Genomic DNA, 17,978 nt, shown 5'->3' with positions numbered 1-17,978 from the left:
ATTGTTGGACATTTGGGTTGGTTCCAAGTCTTTGCTATTGTGAATAGTGCCGCAATAAACATACGTGTGCATGTGTCTTTATAGCAGCATGATTTATAGTCCTTTGGGTATATACCCAGTAATGGGATGGCTGGGTCAAATGGTATTTCTGGTTCTAGATCCCTGAGGAATCGCCACACTGACTTCCACAATGGTTGAACTAGTTTACAGTCCCACCAACAGTGTAAAAGTGTTCCTATTTCTCCACATCCTCTCCAGCACCTGTTGTTTCCTGACTTTTTAATGATTGCCATTCTAACTGGTGTGAGATGGTATCTCATTGTGGTTTTGATTTGCATTTCTCTGATGGCCAGTGATGATGAGCATTTTTTCATGTGTCTTTTGGCTGCATAAATGTCTTCTTTTGAGAAGTGTCTGCTCATATCCTTTGCCCACTTTTTGATGGGGTTTTTTGTTTTTTTCTTGTAAATTTGTTTGAGTTCATTGTAGATTCTGGATATTAGCCCTTTGTCAGATGAGCAGGTTGTGAAAATTTTCTCCCATTTTGTAGGTTGCCTGTTCACTCTGTTGGTAGTTTCTTTTGCTGTACAGAAGCTCTTTAGTTTAATGAGATCCCATTTGTCAATTTTGGCTTTTGTTGGCATTGCTTTTGGTGTTTTAGACATGAAGTCCTTGCCCATGCCTATGTCCTGAATGGTAATGCCTAGGTTTTCTTCTAGGGTTCTTATGGTTTTAGGTCTAACGTTTAAGTCTTTATTCCATCTTGAATTAATTTTTGTATAAGGTGTAAGGAAGGGATCCAGTTTCAGCTTTCTACATATGGCTAGCCAGTTTTCCCAGCACCATTTATTAAATAGGGAATCCTTTCCCCATTGCTTGTTTTTGTCAGGTTTGTCAAAGATCAGATAGTTGTAGATATGCGGCATTATTTCTGAGGGCTCTGTTCTGTTCCATTGATCTGTATCTCTGTTTTGGTACCAGTAACATGCTGTTTTGGTTACTGTAGCCTTGTAGTATAGTTTGAAGTCAGGTAGCGTGATGCCTCCAGCTTTGTTCTTTTGGCTTAGGATTGACTTGGCGATGAGGGCTCTTTTTTGGTTCCATATGAACTTTAAAGTAGTTTTTTCTAATTCTGTGAAGAAAGTCATTGGTAGCTTGATGGGGATGGCATTGAATCTATAAATTACCTTGGGCAGTATGGCCATTTTCACGATATTGATTCTTCCTACCCATGAGCATGGAATGTTCTTCCATTTGTTTGTATTCTCTTCTATTTCATTGAGCAGTGGTTTGTAGTTCTCCTTGAAGAGGTCCTTCATGTGCCTTGCAAGTTGGATTCCTAGGTATTTTATTCTCTTTGAAGCAATTGTGAATGGGAGTTCACTTATGATTTGGCTCTCTGTTTGTCTGTTATTGGTGTATAAGAATGCTTGTGATTTTTGTACATTGATTTTGTATCCTGAGACTTTGCTGAAGTTGCTTATCAGCTTAAGGAGATTTTGGGCTGAGACAATGGGGTTTTCTAGATATACAATCATGTCGTCTGCAAACAGGGACAATTTGACTTCCTCTTTTCCTAATCGAATAGCCTTTATTTCCTTCTGCCTAATTGCCCTGGCCAGAACTTCCAACACTATGTTGAATAGGAGTGGTGAGAGAGGGCATCCCTGTCTTGTGCCAGTTTTCAAAGGGAATGCTTCCAGTTTTTGCCCATTCAGTATGATATTGGCTGTGGGTTTGTCATAGATAGCTCTTATTATTTTGAGATACTTCCCATCAATACCTAATTTATTGAGAGTTTTTAGCATGAAGCGTTGTTGAATTTTGTCAAAGGCCTTTTCTGCATCTATTGAGATAATCATATGGTTTTTGTCTTTGGTTCTGTTTATATGCTGGATTACATTTATTGATTTGCGTAGATTGAACCAGCCTTGTATCCCAGGGATGAAGCCCGCTTGATCATGGTGGATAAGCTTTTTGATGTGCTGCTGGATTCAGTTTGCCAGTATTTTATTGAGGATTTTTGCATCAATGTTCATCAAGGATATTGGTCTAAAATTCTCTTTTTTGGTTGTGTCTCTGCCCGGCTTTGGTATCAGGATGATGCTGGCCTAATAAAATGAGTTAGGGAGGATTCCCTCTTTTTCTATTGATTGGAATAGTTTCAGAAGGAATGGTACCAGTTCCTCCTTATACCTCTGGTAGAATTCGGCTGTGAATCCATCTGGTCCTGGACTCTTTTTGGTTGGTAAGCTATTGATTATTGCCACAATTTCAGATCCTATTATTGGTCTATTCAGAGATTCAACTTCTTCCTGGTTTAGTCTTGGGAGAGTGTATGTGTTGAGGAATTTATCCATTTCTTCTAGATTTTCTAGTTTATTTGCGTAGAGGTGTTGGTAGTATTCTCTGATGGTAGTTTGTATTTCTGTGGGATTGGTGGTGATATCCCCTTCGTCATTTTTTATTGCGTCTATTTGATTCTTCTCTTTTTTTCTTTATTAGTCTTGCTAGCGGTCTATCAATTTTGTTGATCCTTTCAAAAAACCAGCTCCTGGATTCATTAATTTTTTGAAGGGTTTTTTGTGTCTCTATTTCCTTCAGTTCTGCTCTGATTTTAGTTATTTCTTGCCTTCTGCTAGCTTTTGAATGTGTTTGCTCTTGCTTTTCTAGTTCTTTTAATTGTGATGTTAGGTGTCAATTTTGGATCTTTCCTGCTTTCTCTTGTGGGCATTTAGTGCTATAAATTTCCCTCTACACACTGCTTTGAATGTGTCCCAGAGATTCTGGTATGTTGTGTCTTTGTTCTCATTGGTTTCAAAGAACATCTTTATTTCTGCCTTCATTTCATTATGTACCCAGTAGTCATTCAGGAGCAGGTTGTTCAGTTTCCATGTAGTTGAGCGGTTTTGAATGAGTTTCTTAATCCTGAGTTCTAGTTTGATTGCACTGTTGTCTGAGAGATAGTTTGTTATAATTTCTGTTCTTTTACATTTGCTGAGGAGAGCTTTACTTCCAACTATGTGGTCAATTTTGGAATAGGTGTGGCGTGGTGCTGAAAAAAATGTATATTCTGTTGATTTGGGGTGGGGAGTTCTGTAGATATCTATTAGGTCCGCTTGGTGCAGAGCTGAGTTCAATTCCTGGGTATCCTTTTTAACTTTCTGTGTCGTTGATCTGTCTAATGTTGACAGTGGGGTGTTAAAGTCTCCCATTATTATTGTGTGGGAGTCTAAGTCTCTTTGTAGGTCACTCAGGACTTACTTTATGAATCTGGGTGCTCCTGTATTGGGTGCATATATATTTAGGATAGTTAGCTCTTGTTGTTGAATTGATCCCTTTACCCTTAAGTAATGGGCTTCTTTGTCTCTTTTGATCTTTGTTGGTTTAAAGTGTGTTTTATCAGAGACTAGGATTGCAACCCCTGCCTTTTTTTGTTTTCCATTTGCTTGGTAGATCTTCCTCCATCCTTTTATTTTGAGCCTATGTGTGTCTCTGCACGTGAGATGGGCTTCCTGAATACAGCACACTGATGGGTCTTGACTCTTTATCCAATTTGCCAGTCTGTGTCTTTTAATTGGAGCATTTAGTGCATTTACATTTAAGGTTAATATTATGTGTGAATTTGATCCTGTCATGCTGTTAGCTGGTTATTTTGCTTGTTAGTTGATGCAGTTTCTTCCTAATGTCGATGGTCTTTACATTTTGGCATGAGTTTGCAGCGGCTGGTACGGTTATGCCTTTCCATGTTTAGTGCTTCCTTCAGGAGCTCTTTTAGGGCAGGCCTGGTGGTGGCAAAACCTCTCAGCATTTGCTTGTCTGTAAAGTATTTTATTTCTCCTTCACTTATGAAGCTTAATTTGGCTGGATATGAAATTCTGGGTTGAAAATTATTTTCTTTAAGAATGTTGAATATTGGCCCCTACTCTCTCCTGGCTTGTAGAGTTTCTGCCGAGAGATCCGCTGTTAGTCTGATGGGCTTCCCTTTGTGGGTAACCCGACCTTTCTCTCTGGCTGCGCTTAACATTTTTTCCTTCATTTCAACTTTGGTGAATCTGACAATTATGTGTCTTGGAGTTGCTCTTCTCGAGGAGTATCTTTGTGGCATTCTCTGTATTTCCTGAATCTGAATGTTGGCTTGCCTTGCTAGATTGGGGAAGTTCTCCTGGATAATATCCTGCAGAGTGTTTTCCAACTTGGTTCCATTCTCCCCATCACTTTCAGGTACACCAATCAGGTGCAGATTTGGTCTTTTCACATAGTCCCATATTTCTTGGAGGCTTTGTTCATTTCTTTTTATTCTTTTTTCTCTAAACTTCCCTTCTCGCTTCATTTCATTCATTTCATCTTCCATCACTGATACCCTTTCTTCCAGTTGATCGCATCGGCTCCTGAGGCTTCTGCATTCTTCACATAGTTCTCGAGCCTTGGCTTTCAGCTCCATCAGCTCCTTTAAGCACTTCTCTGTATTGGTTATTCTAGTTATACATTCGTCTAAATTTTTTTCAAAGTTTTCAACTTCTTTGCCTTTGGTTTGAATTTCCTCCTGTAGCTCGGAGTAGTTTGATCGTCTGAAGCCTTCTTCTCTCAACTCGTCAAAGTCATTCTCCGTCCAGCTTTGTTCCGTTGCTGGTGAGGGACTGCGTTCCTTTGGAGGAGGAGAAGCGCTCTGCTTTTTAGAGTTTCCAGTTTTTCTGCTCTGTTTTTTCCCCATCTTTGTGGTTTTATCTACTTTTGGTCTTTGATGATGATGATGTACAGATGGGTTTTTGGTTGGATGTCCTTTCTGTTTGTTAGTTTTCCTTCTAACAGACAGGACCCTCAGCTGCAGGTCTGTTGGAGTTTGCTAGAGGTCCACTCCAGACCCTGTTTGCCTGGGTATCAGCAGCGGTGTCTGCAGAACCGCGGATTTTCGTGATCCGCGAATGTTGCTGTATGATCGTTCCTCTGGAAGTTTTGTCTCAGAGGAGTACCCGGCCGTGTGAGGTGTCAGTCTGCCCCTACGGGGGGGGTGCCTCCCAGTTAGGCTGCTCGGGGGTCAGGGGTCAAGGACCCACTTGAGGAGGCAGTCTGCCCGTTCTCAGATCTCCAGCTGCGTGCTGGGAGAACCACTGCTCTCTTCAAAGCTGTCAGACAGGGACATTTAAGTCTGCAGAGGTTACTGCTGTCTTTTTGTTTGTCTGTGCCCTGCCCCCAGAGGTGGAGCCTACAGAGGCAGGCAGGCCTCCTTGAGCTGTGGTGCGCTCCACCCAGTTCGAGCTTCCCGGCTGCTTTGTTTACCTAAGCAATCCTGGGCAATGGCGGGCGCCCCTCCCCCAGCCTCGCTGCCACCTTGCAGTTTGATCTCAGACTGCTGTGCTAGCAATCAGCGAGACTCCGTGGGCATAGGACCCTCCGAGCCAGGTGTGGGATATAATCTCCTGGTGCGCTGTTTCCTAAGCCCGTCGGAAAAGCGCAGTATTTGGGTGGGAGTGGCTCAATTTTCCAGGTGTTGTCTGTCACCCCTTTCCTTGACCAGGAAAGGGAACTCCCTGACCCCTTGCACTTCCCGAGTGAGGCAATGCCTCGCCCTGCTTCGGCTTGCGCACGGTTCGCTGCACCCACTGACCTGCGCCCACTGTCTGGCACTCCCTAGTGAGATGAACCCGGTACCTCATATGGAAATGCAGAAATCACCCGTCTTCTGCGTTGCTCACGCTGGGAGCTCTAGACCGGAGCTGTTCCTAGTCGGCCATCTTGGCTCCTCCCTGAAATATTATTTTCTGAGGTTTGAAAAATGAATGAAATTGATTCTCTAAGGTAGTCAAATATATTATTGGATTTTCTTCTTTATCTTAAAAGAAGTAGCTGACTTTTGCTACTTGGATTTTATCGGATAGTATCATGGACCAAGACTTTCTTAAGTTTGAAGAACCATCATTGCAGTAAACAAGAAAACTGAAAAGGATAGTGTTTTTTTTTGTTTGTTTGTCAGTGACATTCAAATCCCATGGAGAACACTTTACATGAAAGGATAGAGATCTGATCGTTGACCGCTGAGTGAAGGTAATGACACTTGAAAGATAAAGGGCAGTACTGCAACTGCAAATAAAAGACCAACACGGAGGGTCGTTAAGATCGCAAAATGCTGAGCAAATTCATGGTAATGATTCTGGATTTTTTTATAATTATATTTGAAATGCATGAAATTTCAAATGATATTTGAAATGCTTTTGCACACTTTTAGTTTACTGCTCAGTAGAAATCCATTTTCTCAATATGAGTTTAATGAATACTTGTCAGTTAACACAACAGTAGTTCTTTGTGACTATCTCAAAGTGCATACAAACAGTATGACTTCTCTCCTGCAATCATGTTTCTTTGAACTTTTGACATTAATAGATCTTCTTTGTTGTGTGGGTCAAATCTCCATGTGGCAAACTTGCCTTGTGATGGGAACAGTGAACCTCTAGGCAGTGGTGGCTCTGCCCATGTGTAGGTCTGGGGGCAGGCATGTGACTAAGATGGACCAGCGGCAAGCAGGGCCTGCAGGTGTGGGCAGAGTGAGGGCTACATCTGCCAACTCCTATTTGAGCCCACTGCTGCCAAGTGAGCTGGGCCAGACCAGAAAGGACGGTCGGGGTGGGAAGGTGGGTGACAATGATGACTTGGGCTTGTTTCAAGTTGCTTTCCCTTCGGTTTACCACCAAAACCAGGAAGCAAGCAGGGCAGGTTGTAAGCCACACAAGGATATGCGTGCCTCCTTTCTGTTCTGGGAGGTTCTCCTGGAGTCCTGAGATCAGTGCAGTCAGGTCAGAGGGGCAAAGAGACTGTGGGCTTTTGGCTTTTTGTGCCATCAGTCTGAGGGACAGATGGACCAGGCCAGCGCTTCAGGGTCTGCCTGTTGCCAAGTGAGGAAAGACTTTTGAAATGGAAGATGGAGATTAAATTTTCTTTTCTTTTTTCTTTTTTTGAGACAGAGTCGCTCTGTCACCCGGGCTGGAGTGCAGTGGCGCGATCTCAACTCACTGCAAGCTCCGCCTCCCGGGTTCACGCCATTCTCCTGCCTCAGCCTCCTGAGTAGCTGGGTCTACAGGCGCCTGCCACCGCGCCTGGCTAATTTTTTGTATTTTTAGAGAGGGGGTTTCAGGGTGTTAGCCAGGATGGTCTCGATCTCCTGACCTTGTGATCCGTCTGCCTTGGCCTCCCAAAGTGCTGGGATTACAGGTGTGAGCCCCCGCACCCAGCCGAGAGATTAAGTTTTCAAATGCCTTTTTATATCCATGGAATTGATAATTTGGTTTTAGGATTTTTCTCTTTTGATCTCTTTGGTCAGTTACATTAATAGCTTTTTAAATATTGGCCCAGCGTTTGCATCCTTAGAAAGAATTCCACTTGATTGTGGAATAGTCCTCTGCTGGATTCGGTTTACGAGTCATTTACTGAAAATTTTCACGTTAATATCTGTGTATTTTCTTCGTTGAGTTTTGTTTCACTGCTATGCTGGCTGCATAAAAAGCACTTGGGAATTTTCCTTCTGTTTCTGTGTTGGAAACAACTGAAGGTAATATTGGTGTTGCCTGCTCCTAAGGTGTGGTGCTGTTACAGTGTTGACTTGTTAATCTGTGGTAACTAGTTGTTCAGATTTCTTGTCTTTCTTTTCTGATCAGTTTTGGTAACTTACATTTTCCTGGAAAATTCATCATTCATTCAGTGAACAAATATTTATTCCCTGCAATAAGGCACTATTATGTGCCTGGAACACAGCATAGGAGGAAACAGACAAAATCCCAGCCCTCGTGGATTTACCCACCCAAGACGCACCCTTGCAGAGGCATTTCTGTAGAGGAGTGAAGTCTCTGAGAATTGAGGATTTGTCTTTTAGGTTGTTCCCTTTTTTTTTTTTTTAATTTCATCAGTTGAATTTATTTTCGTTTATTTTTAATTTATTTTTATTTTTACTTATTTTTTGGGACAGAGTCTCGCTGTGTGGCCCAGACTGGAGTACAGTGGCGCAATCTTGGCTCACTGCAACCTCCACCTCCCAGGTTCAAGTGATTCTCCTGCCTCAGCCTCCTGAGTAGCTGGGTGTGTGCCACCACACCTGGCTAATTTTTGTATTTTTAGTAGAGATGGGGTTTCACCACGTTGGTCAGGCTGGTCTCGAACTCCTGACCTCGTGTTCCGTCTGCCTTGGCATCCCAAAGTGCTGGGATTACAGGCGTGAGCCACCGCGCCCGGCCAGTTGAAAATTTTAATACAAAAAATTCAAAACAATTTCCTTTCATTTGCTCAGCATTTTTCTATCTTAATTACCCTCTATGTTGGTCTTTTTTTATTTGCAGTTGCTTAAATTATTTGTTTCCATTCTTTTTATTAATACAAGCATTTTAAACACATGGATTTTCTTGTGAACACTCACTTCTTGATTTTATTGTTTTGTGGATGTTTTGCAGCTTTGAATTTAATTTTGAATTTCAGGTCAAATTTCTTTTTTGTCCTCGGATTCACTGGAGAGACCCTTCTCAATTCTGTCCCTGTCACCTGCTGTGTTTTGGGGGTTGTCTGTCTTTGTGTCCTTTCCACTGCAGACTTCCTTCCTGTGCTGGAAGTTTTAATTTCCGTCTATTTGTCTTGGGTTGTCTTGCCATATCTTCTTTGAGTTCTGCTTTGCATTTTTCTCTTTTACTTTTCTTTTCTTTTTTCTTTTGAAACAAGTTTTTGCTGTCACCCAGGCTGGAGTGCAGTGGTACAATCTCAGCTCACTGCAACCTCTGCCTCCTGGGTTCAAGCGATTCTCCTGCTTCAGCCTCCCAGGTAGCTGGGATTACAGGTGCATGCCACCATACCCAGCTAATTTTTGTATTTTTCGTAGAGACAGGGTTTTGCCATGTTGGCCAGGCTGGTCTCGAACTCCTGACCTCAAGTGATCCGCCCACCTGGACTTCCCAAAGTGCTGGAATTACAAGTGTGAGCCACCATGCCGGGCCTCTTTTTAAAAAGCTTTTTCTCTCGGACGGGGTGGCTGGCCGGGCGGGGGGCTGACCCCCCCACCTCCCTCCCGGACTGGGCGGCTGGCCGGGCGGGGGGCTGACTCCCCCACCTGAGAAATCGGATGGTTGCCGTGTCTGTGTAGAAAGAGGTAGACATGGGAGACTTTTCATTTTGTTCTGTACTAAGAAAAATTCTTATCCTGTTGATCTGTGACCTTACCCCCAACCCTGTGCTCTCTGAAACATGTGCTGTGTCCACTCAGGGTTAAATGGATTAAGGGCGGTGCAAGATGTGCTTTGTTAAACAGATGCTTGAAGGCAGCAGGCTCGTTAAGAGTCATCACCACTCCCTAATCTCAAGTACCCAGGGACACAAACACTGCGGAAGGCCGCAGGGTCCTCTGCCTAGGAAAACCAGAGACCTTTGTTCACTTGTTTATCTGCTGACCTTCCCTCCACTATTGTCCTATGACCCTGCCAAATCCCCCTCTGCGAGAAACACCCAAGAATGATCAATAAAAATAAATTAAAAAAAAAAAAAAGCTTTTTCTGAGACAAGGTCTTGCTCTGTTGACCAGGCTGTAGTGCAGTAGTGCGATCGTGGCTCATGGCAGCCTGGAACTCTTGGGCTCAAGCTCTCTCCCGGCTTCAGCCTCCCAAGTAGCCGAGACTACAAGCCTAGCTCATTTATTATTTATTTATTTATCTCTATCTATCTAATCTATATAGTCAATCACTTAATCAATCAATGAGATGGGGGGTCTCATCATATTGTCAGGCTGGTCTTGAACTTTTGGGCTCAAGCAATCTTTCCGCCTTGGCCTCTTACAGTTGTGGAATTATAGTCTTGAGCCACCACACCCAGCTTCTTTTTTTTTTTTAATTAAAACAATTTTTTAAATTGATGCATATTAAATGTATATAGTTTCAGGGTATATATGATAAGTTAATACATTTATATGATGGTAAAAATCAAATCAGTGTATCTGAGATATCCATCACCTTAAATATTTGTTTTTTCTTTATGTCAGAACCATTCAAATTATTCTCTTTTAGCTATTTTGAAATGTACGATAGACTGTTGTAAACTGTAGTCAACCTGCTGATATACCAAACACTATGTCTTATTTCCTCTATCCAACTGTATATTTGTACCTATTAACCAACTTTTCTTCATCCAAGCCACCCTGCTATTTTTCTCAGTCTCTGGTGACCATCAGTCTACTCCATTTTCAGAAGATCTACTTTTTGTTTTTAGCTCCCACAGATGACTGAAAACATGTGTTGTCTTTCTATGCTTGGCTTAGTTCACTTAACATAATGACCTCCATTTTGCTGCTAATGACAAGATTTCATTCTTTTTTTTTTTCTTTCTTTTTTTTTTGAGACAGGGAGGGTCTCACTCTGTCACCCAGGCTGGAGTGCAGTGGTACAATCTCGGCTCACTGCACCCTCTGCCTCCCAGGCTCAATTGATCCTCCCACCTCAGGCCCTAGAGTGGCTGGGACTACAGGTGTGCATCATCACACCAGGTTAATTTTTTTTTTGTATTTTTTGTAGAGATGGGATTTCATCATGTTGCCCAGGCTGGTCTCAAACTCCTGAGCTCAAGCAATCCTCCTGCCTTGGCTTCCCAAAGTGCGGGGATTATAGGCATGAGCCACTGTCCATGGCAATTTTATTCTTTTTTATGGCTGAGTAATATTTCACTGTGTATGTATAGCACATTTTCTTTATCCATTCATCTGTTGATGGGCACTTAGGTTGATTCCATGTCTTGGCTATTGTGAACAATGCTGCAGTATACCCACGGGTGCAGGTATCTCTTCAACATACTGATTTCCTTTCCTTTGAATATCTACCCAGTAGTGGGATTGCTGGATGATGTGGTAGCTCTATTTTTAGTTTTTTGAGGAGACGCCATACTCTTCTTCATAATGACTGTACTAATTTATATTCCCATCAATAGTGTATGAGGGCTCCCTCTCTCTACATCCTTGCCAGCATCTGCTATTTTCTGCCTTTTTAATAAAAATTATTCTATCTGGGGTGAAATGAAATCTCATTATGGTTTTGATTTGCATTTCTCTGACAGTTAGTGATGTTGGGCATGTTTTCATAGACCTGTTGGCCATTTGTGCGTCTTCTTTTGAGAAATGTCTATTCAGATCTTTTGCCCATTTTTTAATTGATTTATTTTGGTGTTTTTTTTTTTTTTTGCTGTTGAGTTGTCTGAGCTTCTTATCTGTTGTGGTTATTAATCGCCTGACAGATGGATATTTGCAAATCTTTACCCCATTCTGTGTCTTCTTTTCTTTTCTTATATATTTATGTTTTTGAGGCACGGTCTCACTCTGTCAAGCAGGCTGGAGTGCAGGGGTGCAGTCTCTGCTCATTGCAGCCTTGGCACTCAAGCCTCCCACCTCAGCCTCCTGAGCAGTTGGGACTACAGGCGCACACCTCCACACTTGGCTGACTTTTATATTTTATGTAGAGACGGGATTTCACCTTGTTGCCCAGGCTGGTCCCAAACTCTTGAGCTCAAGCCATTTGCCCACCTTGGCCTCCGTCAGTATTGGGATTATAGGCATGAGCCACCATGCTTGGCTGCTTTTCTTCTCTTCCCTGTTTTTAGAAAGATGATTCCTTCATTAAGTTTTATGATTTTTGTTGATATGTTTGATTACAATTTTCAGCCATCATGTGTCAATACTTCCCGGTTTGTGTTTTCCATCCTTTGATGTCTTTTTTTGTTTTTCTTCCCTGCCCGTCTCCCTTTGTAGTGCCTTTGTTTGGCACCTGTGCTCGTTTCTTTTGATCGCTGGTCTTTTCATGGTGAATCTTTTCCTGGTCCAGCAGGATCTGTATGTGGAGCTGGGCCCGGCCCCCATCGCAGGCTGGCAGGAATGCTGACGACATAGTGTTGTGTTTGTGAGGAAATTCTTTGAGCTGTCATTTACCCCAAGCCCAAGGAGAAGGGCAGATGCAGGCCGCCCAGGATGCAACACCTCTCCCCTTAGCTTGAAGAGCCAGAAACAGCTTCCTGAGAAGACACCAGGCAGCCCTGCCTGCCCTACTCTCCTTCCTACCATGTGTATGGGAAGTACCTGCCCCCAGCCTGGGCACCTGTTGCTGTTGTCCCCTCCAGGGTTTCAGCATTGCTTCCAGGGCATGCATGTGGTCTAGGGACTGCTCCCTGGGGCGTGCGGGGCTGTGGCTCCCCCAGCCTGCCTCCAGCACCTGCTCCTTCCTGACCTCAGCAGCCAATGCCCTCTGTCTTCAGATACTATGCCTTTGGATTATAGATGTTTCTAAGTTTCACTGTAGATGGAGTTTATATTTCTGTTTTTTCTTCTCCTTTTTTTTTTTTTTTGAGACAGAGTCTCGCTCTGTCACCCAGGCTGGAGTGCAGTGGGGTGATCTCCTTCTTCCTGCTTTTGTGTGATTTCCCAGAGTCTGACAGGAAAGAAATGAAGCCTTCAGCCCACCGCTTAAAACCTGAAGTCCAGATTTGACTTGATAAAGTAGCTTTTGTGGCAAGGTTTAGGGTAAAAACTGGAACATGGACTCAGTCAGGAAAATTGGTTAAGAGGTTGTTAAAATGTAATTTAAGCACCGAATGGGGAGAGGAGGGTGGGGATGGAGAGCGCTGGAAAAGCCAGAGCCCAGGTATTGGGTGTGGGGCTGGGAGGGAGGGGCTCACCCCCATGTGTATGAATGAATGGGGCAGGCTGGAGGGAGGGGCACATCCCCCTGTGTATGAATGGGGCAGGCTGTGGGGAAGGGGCTCACCCCTGTGTGTATGAATGGGGCAGGCTGGGAGTGAGGGGCTCATCCCCGTGTGATGAAAGGGGCTGGTGGGACTGGGGAGGGACAGGGACCAGAACGGTAGTTGAGGTCCAAGCTTAGTTGAGTGGACGTGCCCAGGGGCGCTTAGTGCGGGTCTGGCTCGGGCAGTTTAGGATGTGCCTGGGCACCAGATTCGCATTTGGAAAGCATGGGCCTAACTTACAGAAAAGGGAGCATGCCAAAGAGGAAGGTGTGGATGAGAAAAGTCAGAATCGAACTCCAGAAGCAAAAATGTAGGTGAAGGGAGAAAGAAGAGCAGGAGGCGATTGGGAAGGCCTTGCAGGGTGTGCAGATGGTGGAGGTGCCCGTGTGAGGGAGTCCAAGGGCTTGGGCAGGGTCAGATGGTGGAGGTGCCCGTGTGAGGGAGTCCAAGGGCTTGGGCAGGGTCAGATGGTGGAGGTGCCCGTGTGAGGGAGTCCAAGGGCTTGGGCAGGGTCAGAGGGTGGAGGTGCCCGTGTGAGGGAGTCCAAGGGCAGGATTGGGGCTGGAGGCGGCTGTTGGGTCTGACAGTTGGGTGACTCTGATGACTGAGTGGAGGTCAGGTCAGCACAGGGTGAGGAACTGGGCGCAGCTGGCTGGAAGGGCTGGAAGAGCACTCCTCGCCTGCTTACCCATTGTTACATCTGCTGTGAGTGGAAGGACAGAGATAGGGCAGTAGTTTGGGAGGGACATCAAGTCAAAGACAGTTTTTTTTTTTTTCCAAGGAGAAAGGGACATGTGAGCTGTTAACTAAGAAGCCAGAGAAGAGAGAGAGGTGAGAGCAGAATGGCTGCTATGGGGGTTTCCTGGAAGCCAGAGATGGCTCTGTTTCCTTGGGGACCTGTGAAGTGAGTTCTTTCCTTGCAGCTTAGGGGGTTGGGCTTGCACCAGGGGCTTGCAAAGAGATTACAGGTAATATCTGCCCCAGGCAATACAAAATGGAGGAGGTGAGGGTGGAATGAAAGCCCCTTAGCTACGTGGAAAGGCTTGGACTTCAACGGGTAAGTGCAGGAGCCAATGAATGAATGTGTGTTAGGGCTTCTGGGCTCTCAGAAATAGAGCATCATCACCTCAGTTCTCCTGGAGGGTTTATTTTCCTTTTAATGCACTTCAATTCTTTGACTGCATTTTTTCTTTTGGGTGTAGGAGATGAGAAATGGGTATTTAGGTAACACAGAATGGGGAAGTTAGGACTTTGCCCCCTTTCCTTCTTTTCCTTTTTTTCTTCTCTTCTCTTCCTCCCTCCTCCCTTCTCCTCCCCTTCCTTCCCCCTCCCCTTTCCCCATACTTTCCTCTTCCTGAGGGTCATCCTGGTGATTGGTGAGCAGCGCTTTGTAGCGGTCCTTTCTGGAGGGAGACTCTCAGTGTAGGAGAGCAGGTTCATCTGCTCCTGGCCTGTGTCTGCCCTGCTTCAAGCTGAAGCCCCTCTCCACCTGCCCTCCTTAAACCTTCTAAGTGGAGAATTCTGATAGCAAAGCTTTAATGGACACGGTTTGCTACCTGTTTCTGGAAACCACTTACTTGCTTAACCTAGTAAGCAAATGAATACAGTTTTGAGTTTCCCAAGGGAATGGTGTGTGCTCAGTTAATATGTCTAGGTACTGATATTTCTACCTACTCTAAGTAGTTGTAAGGTTCCTGATGATTCTTTCCTGCTACGATCCTGAACTCTCAGCATTTCCAATTCCTTTGCCTGGTTTGGTTCCCTACAGGGTGGTGGCAGACTAGAAATTTGGCTTTGTGAGAAAAATGCCTTGGCCTTTCTTTCTTTCTTTCTTTTTTTTTTTTTTGAGATGGAGTCTCACTCTTGTCGCCTAGGCTGGAGTGCAATGGCACGATCTAGGTTCACTGCAACTTCTGCCTCCCTGGTTCAAGCAATTCTCCTGCCTTAGCCTCTTGAGTAGCTGAGATTACAGGCGCTCACCACCACGCCCAGCTAAGTTTTGTGTTTTTAGTAGAGATGGGTTTTCACCATGTTGGCCAGGCTGGTCTCGAACTCCTGACCTCAGGTGATCTGCTCGCCTCGGCCTCCCAAAGTGTTGGGATTACAGGCGTGAGCCACTGTGCCTAGACTCGCCTTGGCCTTTCTTTATAAGAACTGGGGAAAATACACAGAATTTTTAGTATAAAGGGACCTGTGTTCCAGCTTCTACCAAATGTGCCATTTGTGTTGCCAGCTACCCTACTTTACCATGAGAGAGCCATAGCCGGGCTGAACGTTGGGAGTGTGGGTTCTTTTTCCCCTTTGGTAGCTTTGAGGCAGAGGCGAAGTCACATGACCTTGCTCGTCCTCAGTTTATGTACTAAATGGGAATAATCTGCATCCTGTCTTCTGTGCACTTCATTGAATTATGAGGATGAACCAAGACAGAATGTGTGAAAATGTTTTTTGACATATTATACTATAAAAATTTGATCTTTTGTAATAAGGTCATTGGAACACCTGTAAAACGATCATTCTGACTAGACTTAGTGGTCATTTTATCATTACTTTAATCAAAGAGGTAGAATTATACACTTGGAGATCTGTCACCAGAATGGCCCAAATTAAATAATTTTTGGAAAGCTCTTAAATTAAACTTTTTATTTCACTGTGATTTTTAAAGATACATTTTAGATAGGTCTATACAAATGATTCTCCACTTCCATTTTTTTTTAAAGAAGTGTCTTTTCTTGTATGAGCTTGAATAAGATAGTTTCAAATTTGCAATGCTTTTCCAAAACTGCAACCTCTTCACTCTGTCTGAAACAGATGATCTATTTAGACTTGTTTTTCTGCCTGCTTACCATGATTCCTCTCCAGGTATGCAGCTCTCGGCTCTGCAAATTGCTTTAGAGTGGAGTAAATTGAATACCGGTTCATTGTTGTCACTCAAGCAGCTTCTGCATTTTCTGACTTGCCCTTCATTTTTCAGTATAGTAGCCACTGATACAATTTACTTATTTTTGGTTTTCTTCTATTTTAAAGTGATGGCATTTAATCCTGCCTTCTGTCTAACTTTGAGCTCCTGGGTTCATTTTGATAAATGTTAATATGTTGTTATTATGGTCTGTGCCAGTGTTTTTGATACTTAATCGTCTATCATCTTGTCTTTTAATCTTTTTGAGTGTTTGTCTCCTCTCTCCTAATGAGAGTCCAAGTTTCCTGAGGGCAGAGGTGGCACCTCATACCTCTTTGATGCCTCCACAGCACCTGCCACTAGGCAACCCTTCATCACTGACTTGAGGCATAGACAAGCTTTTCTGTGGAAAATAATCATTCCCTTTGAGGTGGGTCCTCTCCTGGGTGCTATTTTTGGGGGCTTTTGGGCTTTTTAACGTCTAGGGTGATAACACAGTCCTGCATTTGAAAATCTTGGGGTTCTTGTCTGAAGGTGGACCTGTCCCGGTGTTCTCTCTCCTGACCTGGGGCTCAGCCTTGGAGTAGTCAGGGCTTTGTCTTTCAGGAATGGCTTGCCCTCCTCCTCATCAGAGTCATCTTTCTCCAAGCCAGAGCTGTTTAAATTGGATAGCGTCAGAGGCTCTGTGACTTGCTGATAATTATATGCAAAATTTTCTGTGCATATATGCACCTTTTTGGCAGAAGGCCTATAACTTTATGAGTCTAAAGCTCCAAAAATTGTCCAGGGAAGTTGCAGCAGAGGGTAGAGGAATACCGACAGTGGGACCCTTAAATGTATCTTGAAGAGTTGAATTGGCTCACACAGATATTTTCTCCAGGTGTCTAATCATGGGAATGTTGCTCTAGACATGTGTATTCTCGGTTTTATTGAAATGTATTTTAGCTGTTGAAGTTTTGTGCTGCTATTTTGGGAAGGTTGGGAACATAGATAATATTGGTTATGTTTTCTAAGAACAGTTCATGAAATTGTTCTCTCTCAACTTTTTTGCAGTGGACACCCAAGAGATGTCCTTGTTTTGCTCTAGTTGTGGAAACCAAGTCAAAACTAGGCAGACTAAATGGTCAGGGCAACCGTTCACTTGTTTCTCTTAACTGGTTTTGAAAGAAATGAATCAAAACACCAGAAAGAACACGTAAGAGTTGGATGTGACTGCCGAGGAGGTGGGAAGTGGGTGTCAGGTGTATTCGGAGCTCCGTATGGGAAGGGGGCATGACCGAATGGGGGCATTTAGTGAGCTGTAGGATGCAGGGTTAGTTTCCTGTTGCTGCCATAACAAATTCCCATAAACGTAGTGGCTCAAAATAACATAATTTTATTATTTTACGGTTCTGTAAGTCAGAAACCCAAAATGAATCTCCCTGGGCTAAAGTCAAGACATAAGTAGGTCTCTGTTACTTCCTGGAGGCACTAGGGGAGAATCTGTGTCTTCACCTTTTTTAACTTTCAGAGGCACCCACATTCCTTGGCTCACGGACTCTGTTAAAAGAAAAACTTCAGCTGAATTAAATTTAAAGGAGTTTAATTGAACAATGATCAATTCGTGAATTGGGCAGCCCCCAGAATCACAGCAGATTCAGAGAGACTCCAGGGATGCCTTGTGGTCAGGACAAATTTATAAACAAATAAAGGGAAGTGACATACAGAAATGGGAAGTGAGGTGCAGAAACAGCTGGATGGGTTACAGGCTGGCATTTGCCTTATTTGAACACAGTTTGAACACTCAGCAGTGTATGAGTGGTTGAAGTATGGCTGCTGGGATTGGCCAAGACTCAGTTGTTACAGGTGCATACTCCTAAGTTAGGTTCTCAATCTTGTCTGCATATTAAGGTAGGTTATGTTTCATCCACAAGGACTCAAATATAGAAGCAGGGAGTCCTTCTCAGGCCATATTTAGTTTGCTTTAACAACTCTCATTCATCTCTAAATCCAGCAACAGCCACTGGGTCCTCCTCACAGCTGCCATTGTTACTGGTGGAGGGTGTCCAGGTTCTTGGCATCTTGAGCAAAGAACTGGACAAAACAAAGTGAGGAAAGAATGAAGCAACAAATGCAGAGAGTTACTGAAAATGAAAGTACGCTCCATGGGGTGGGATTGGGCCGAGCAGCTGCTCAAGGGCCCTGAATGCAGAATCTTCTCAGGTCCAAATACCTGCTGGAGGTTTCCCATTGGCCACTTGGTGTTTACCCCATGTAAATGAAGTGATGGCCCACAATCAGTGTGATTGGTTGTAGAAAGCAACCAATCAGAGCAACCAATCAGAGGCTACAGTGAAGT

At 43.9% G+C, this 17,978-nt stretch overlaps 1 protein-coding gene across 3 annotated transcripts in view; it reads left to right on the top strand.

Moving 5' to 3' along the window:
- EIPR1 (EARP complex and GARP complex interacting protein 1) overlaps nucleotides 1–17,978 on the top strand; it is a 188,849-nt gene that overhangs the window by 2,824 nt on the left and 168,047 nt on the right. The window lies entirely within an intron of this gene.

The sequence above is a fragment of the Homo sapiens genome, chromosome 2 (assembly GCF_000001405.40).
Source record: "Homo sapiens chromosome 2, GRCh38.p14 Primary Assembly".
Classification (NCBI taxonomy): Eukaryota; Metazoa; Chordata; class Mammalia; order Primates; family Hominidae; genus Homo; species Homo sapiens.
The sequence above is the reverse complement of the archived record's forward strand: the minus strand, read 5'-3'. Positions and strand labels throughout refer to the sequence as shown.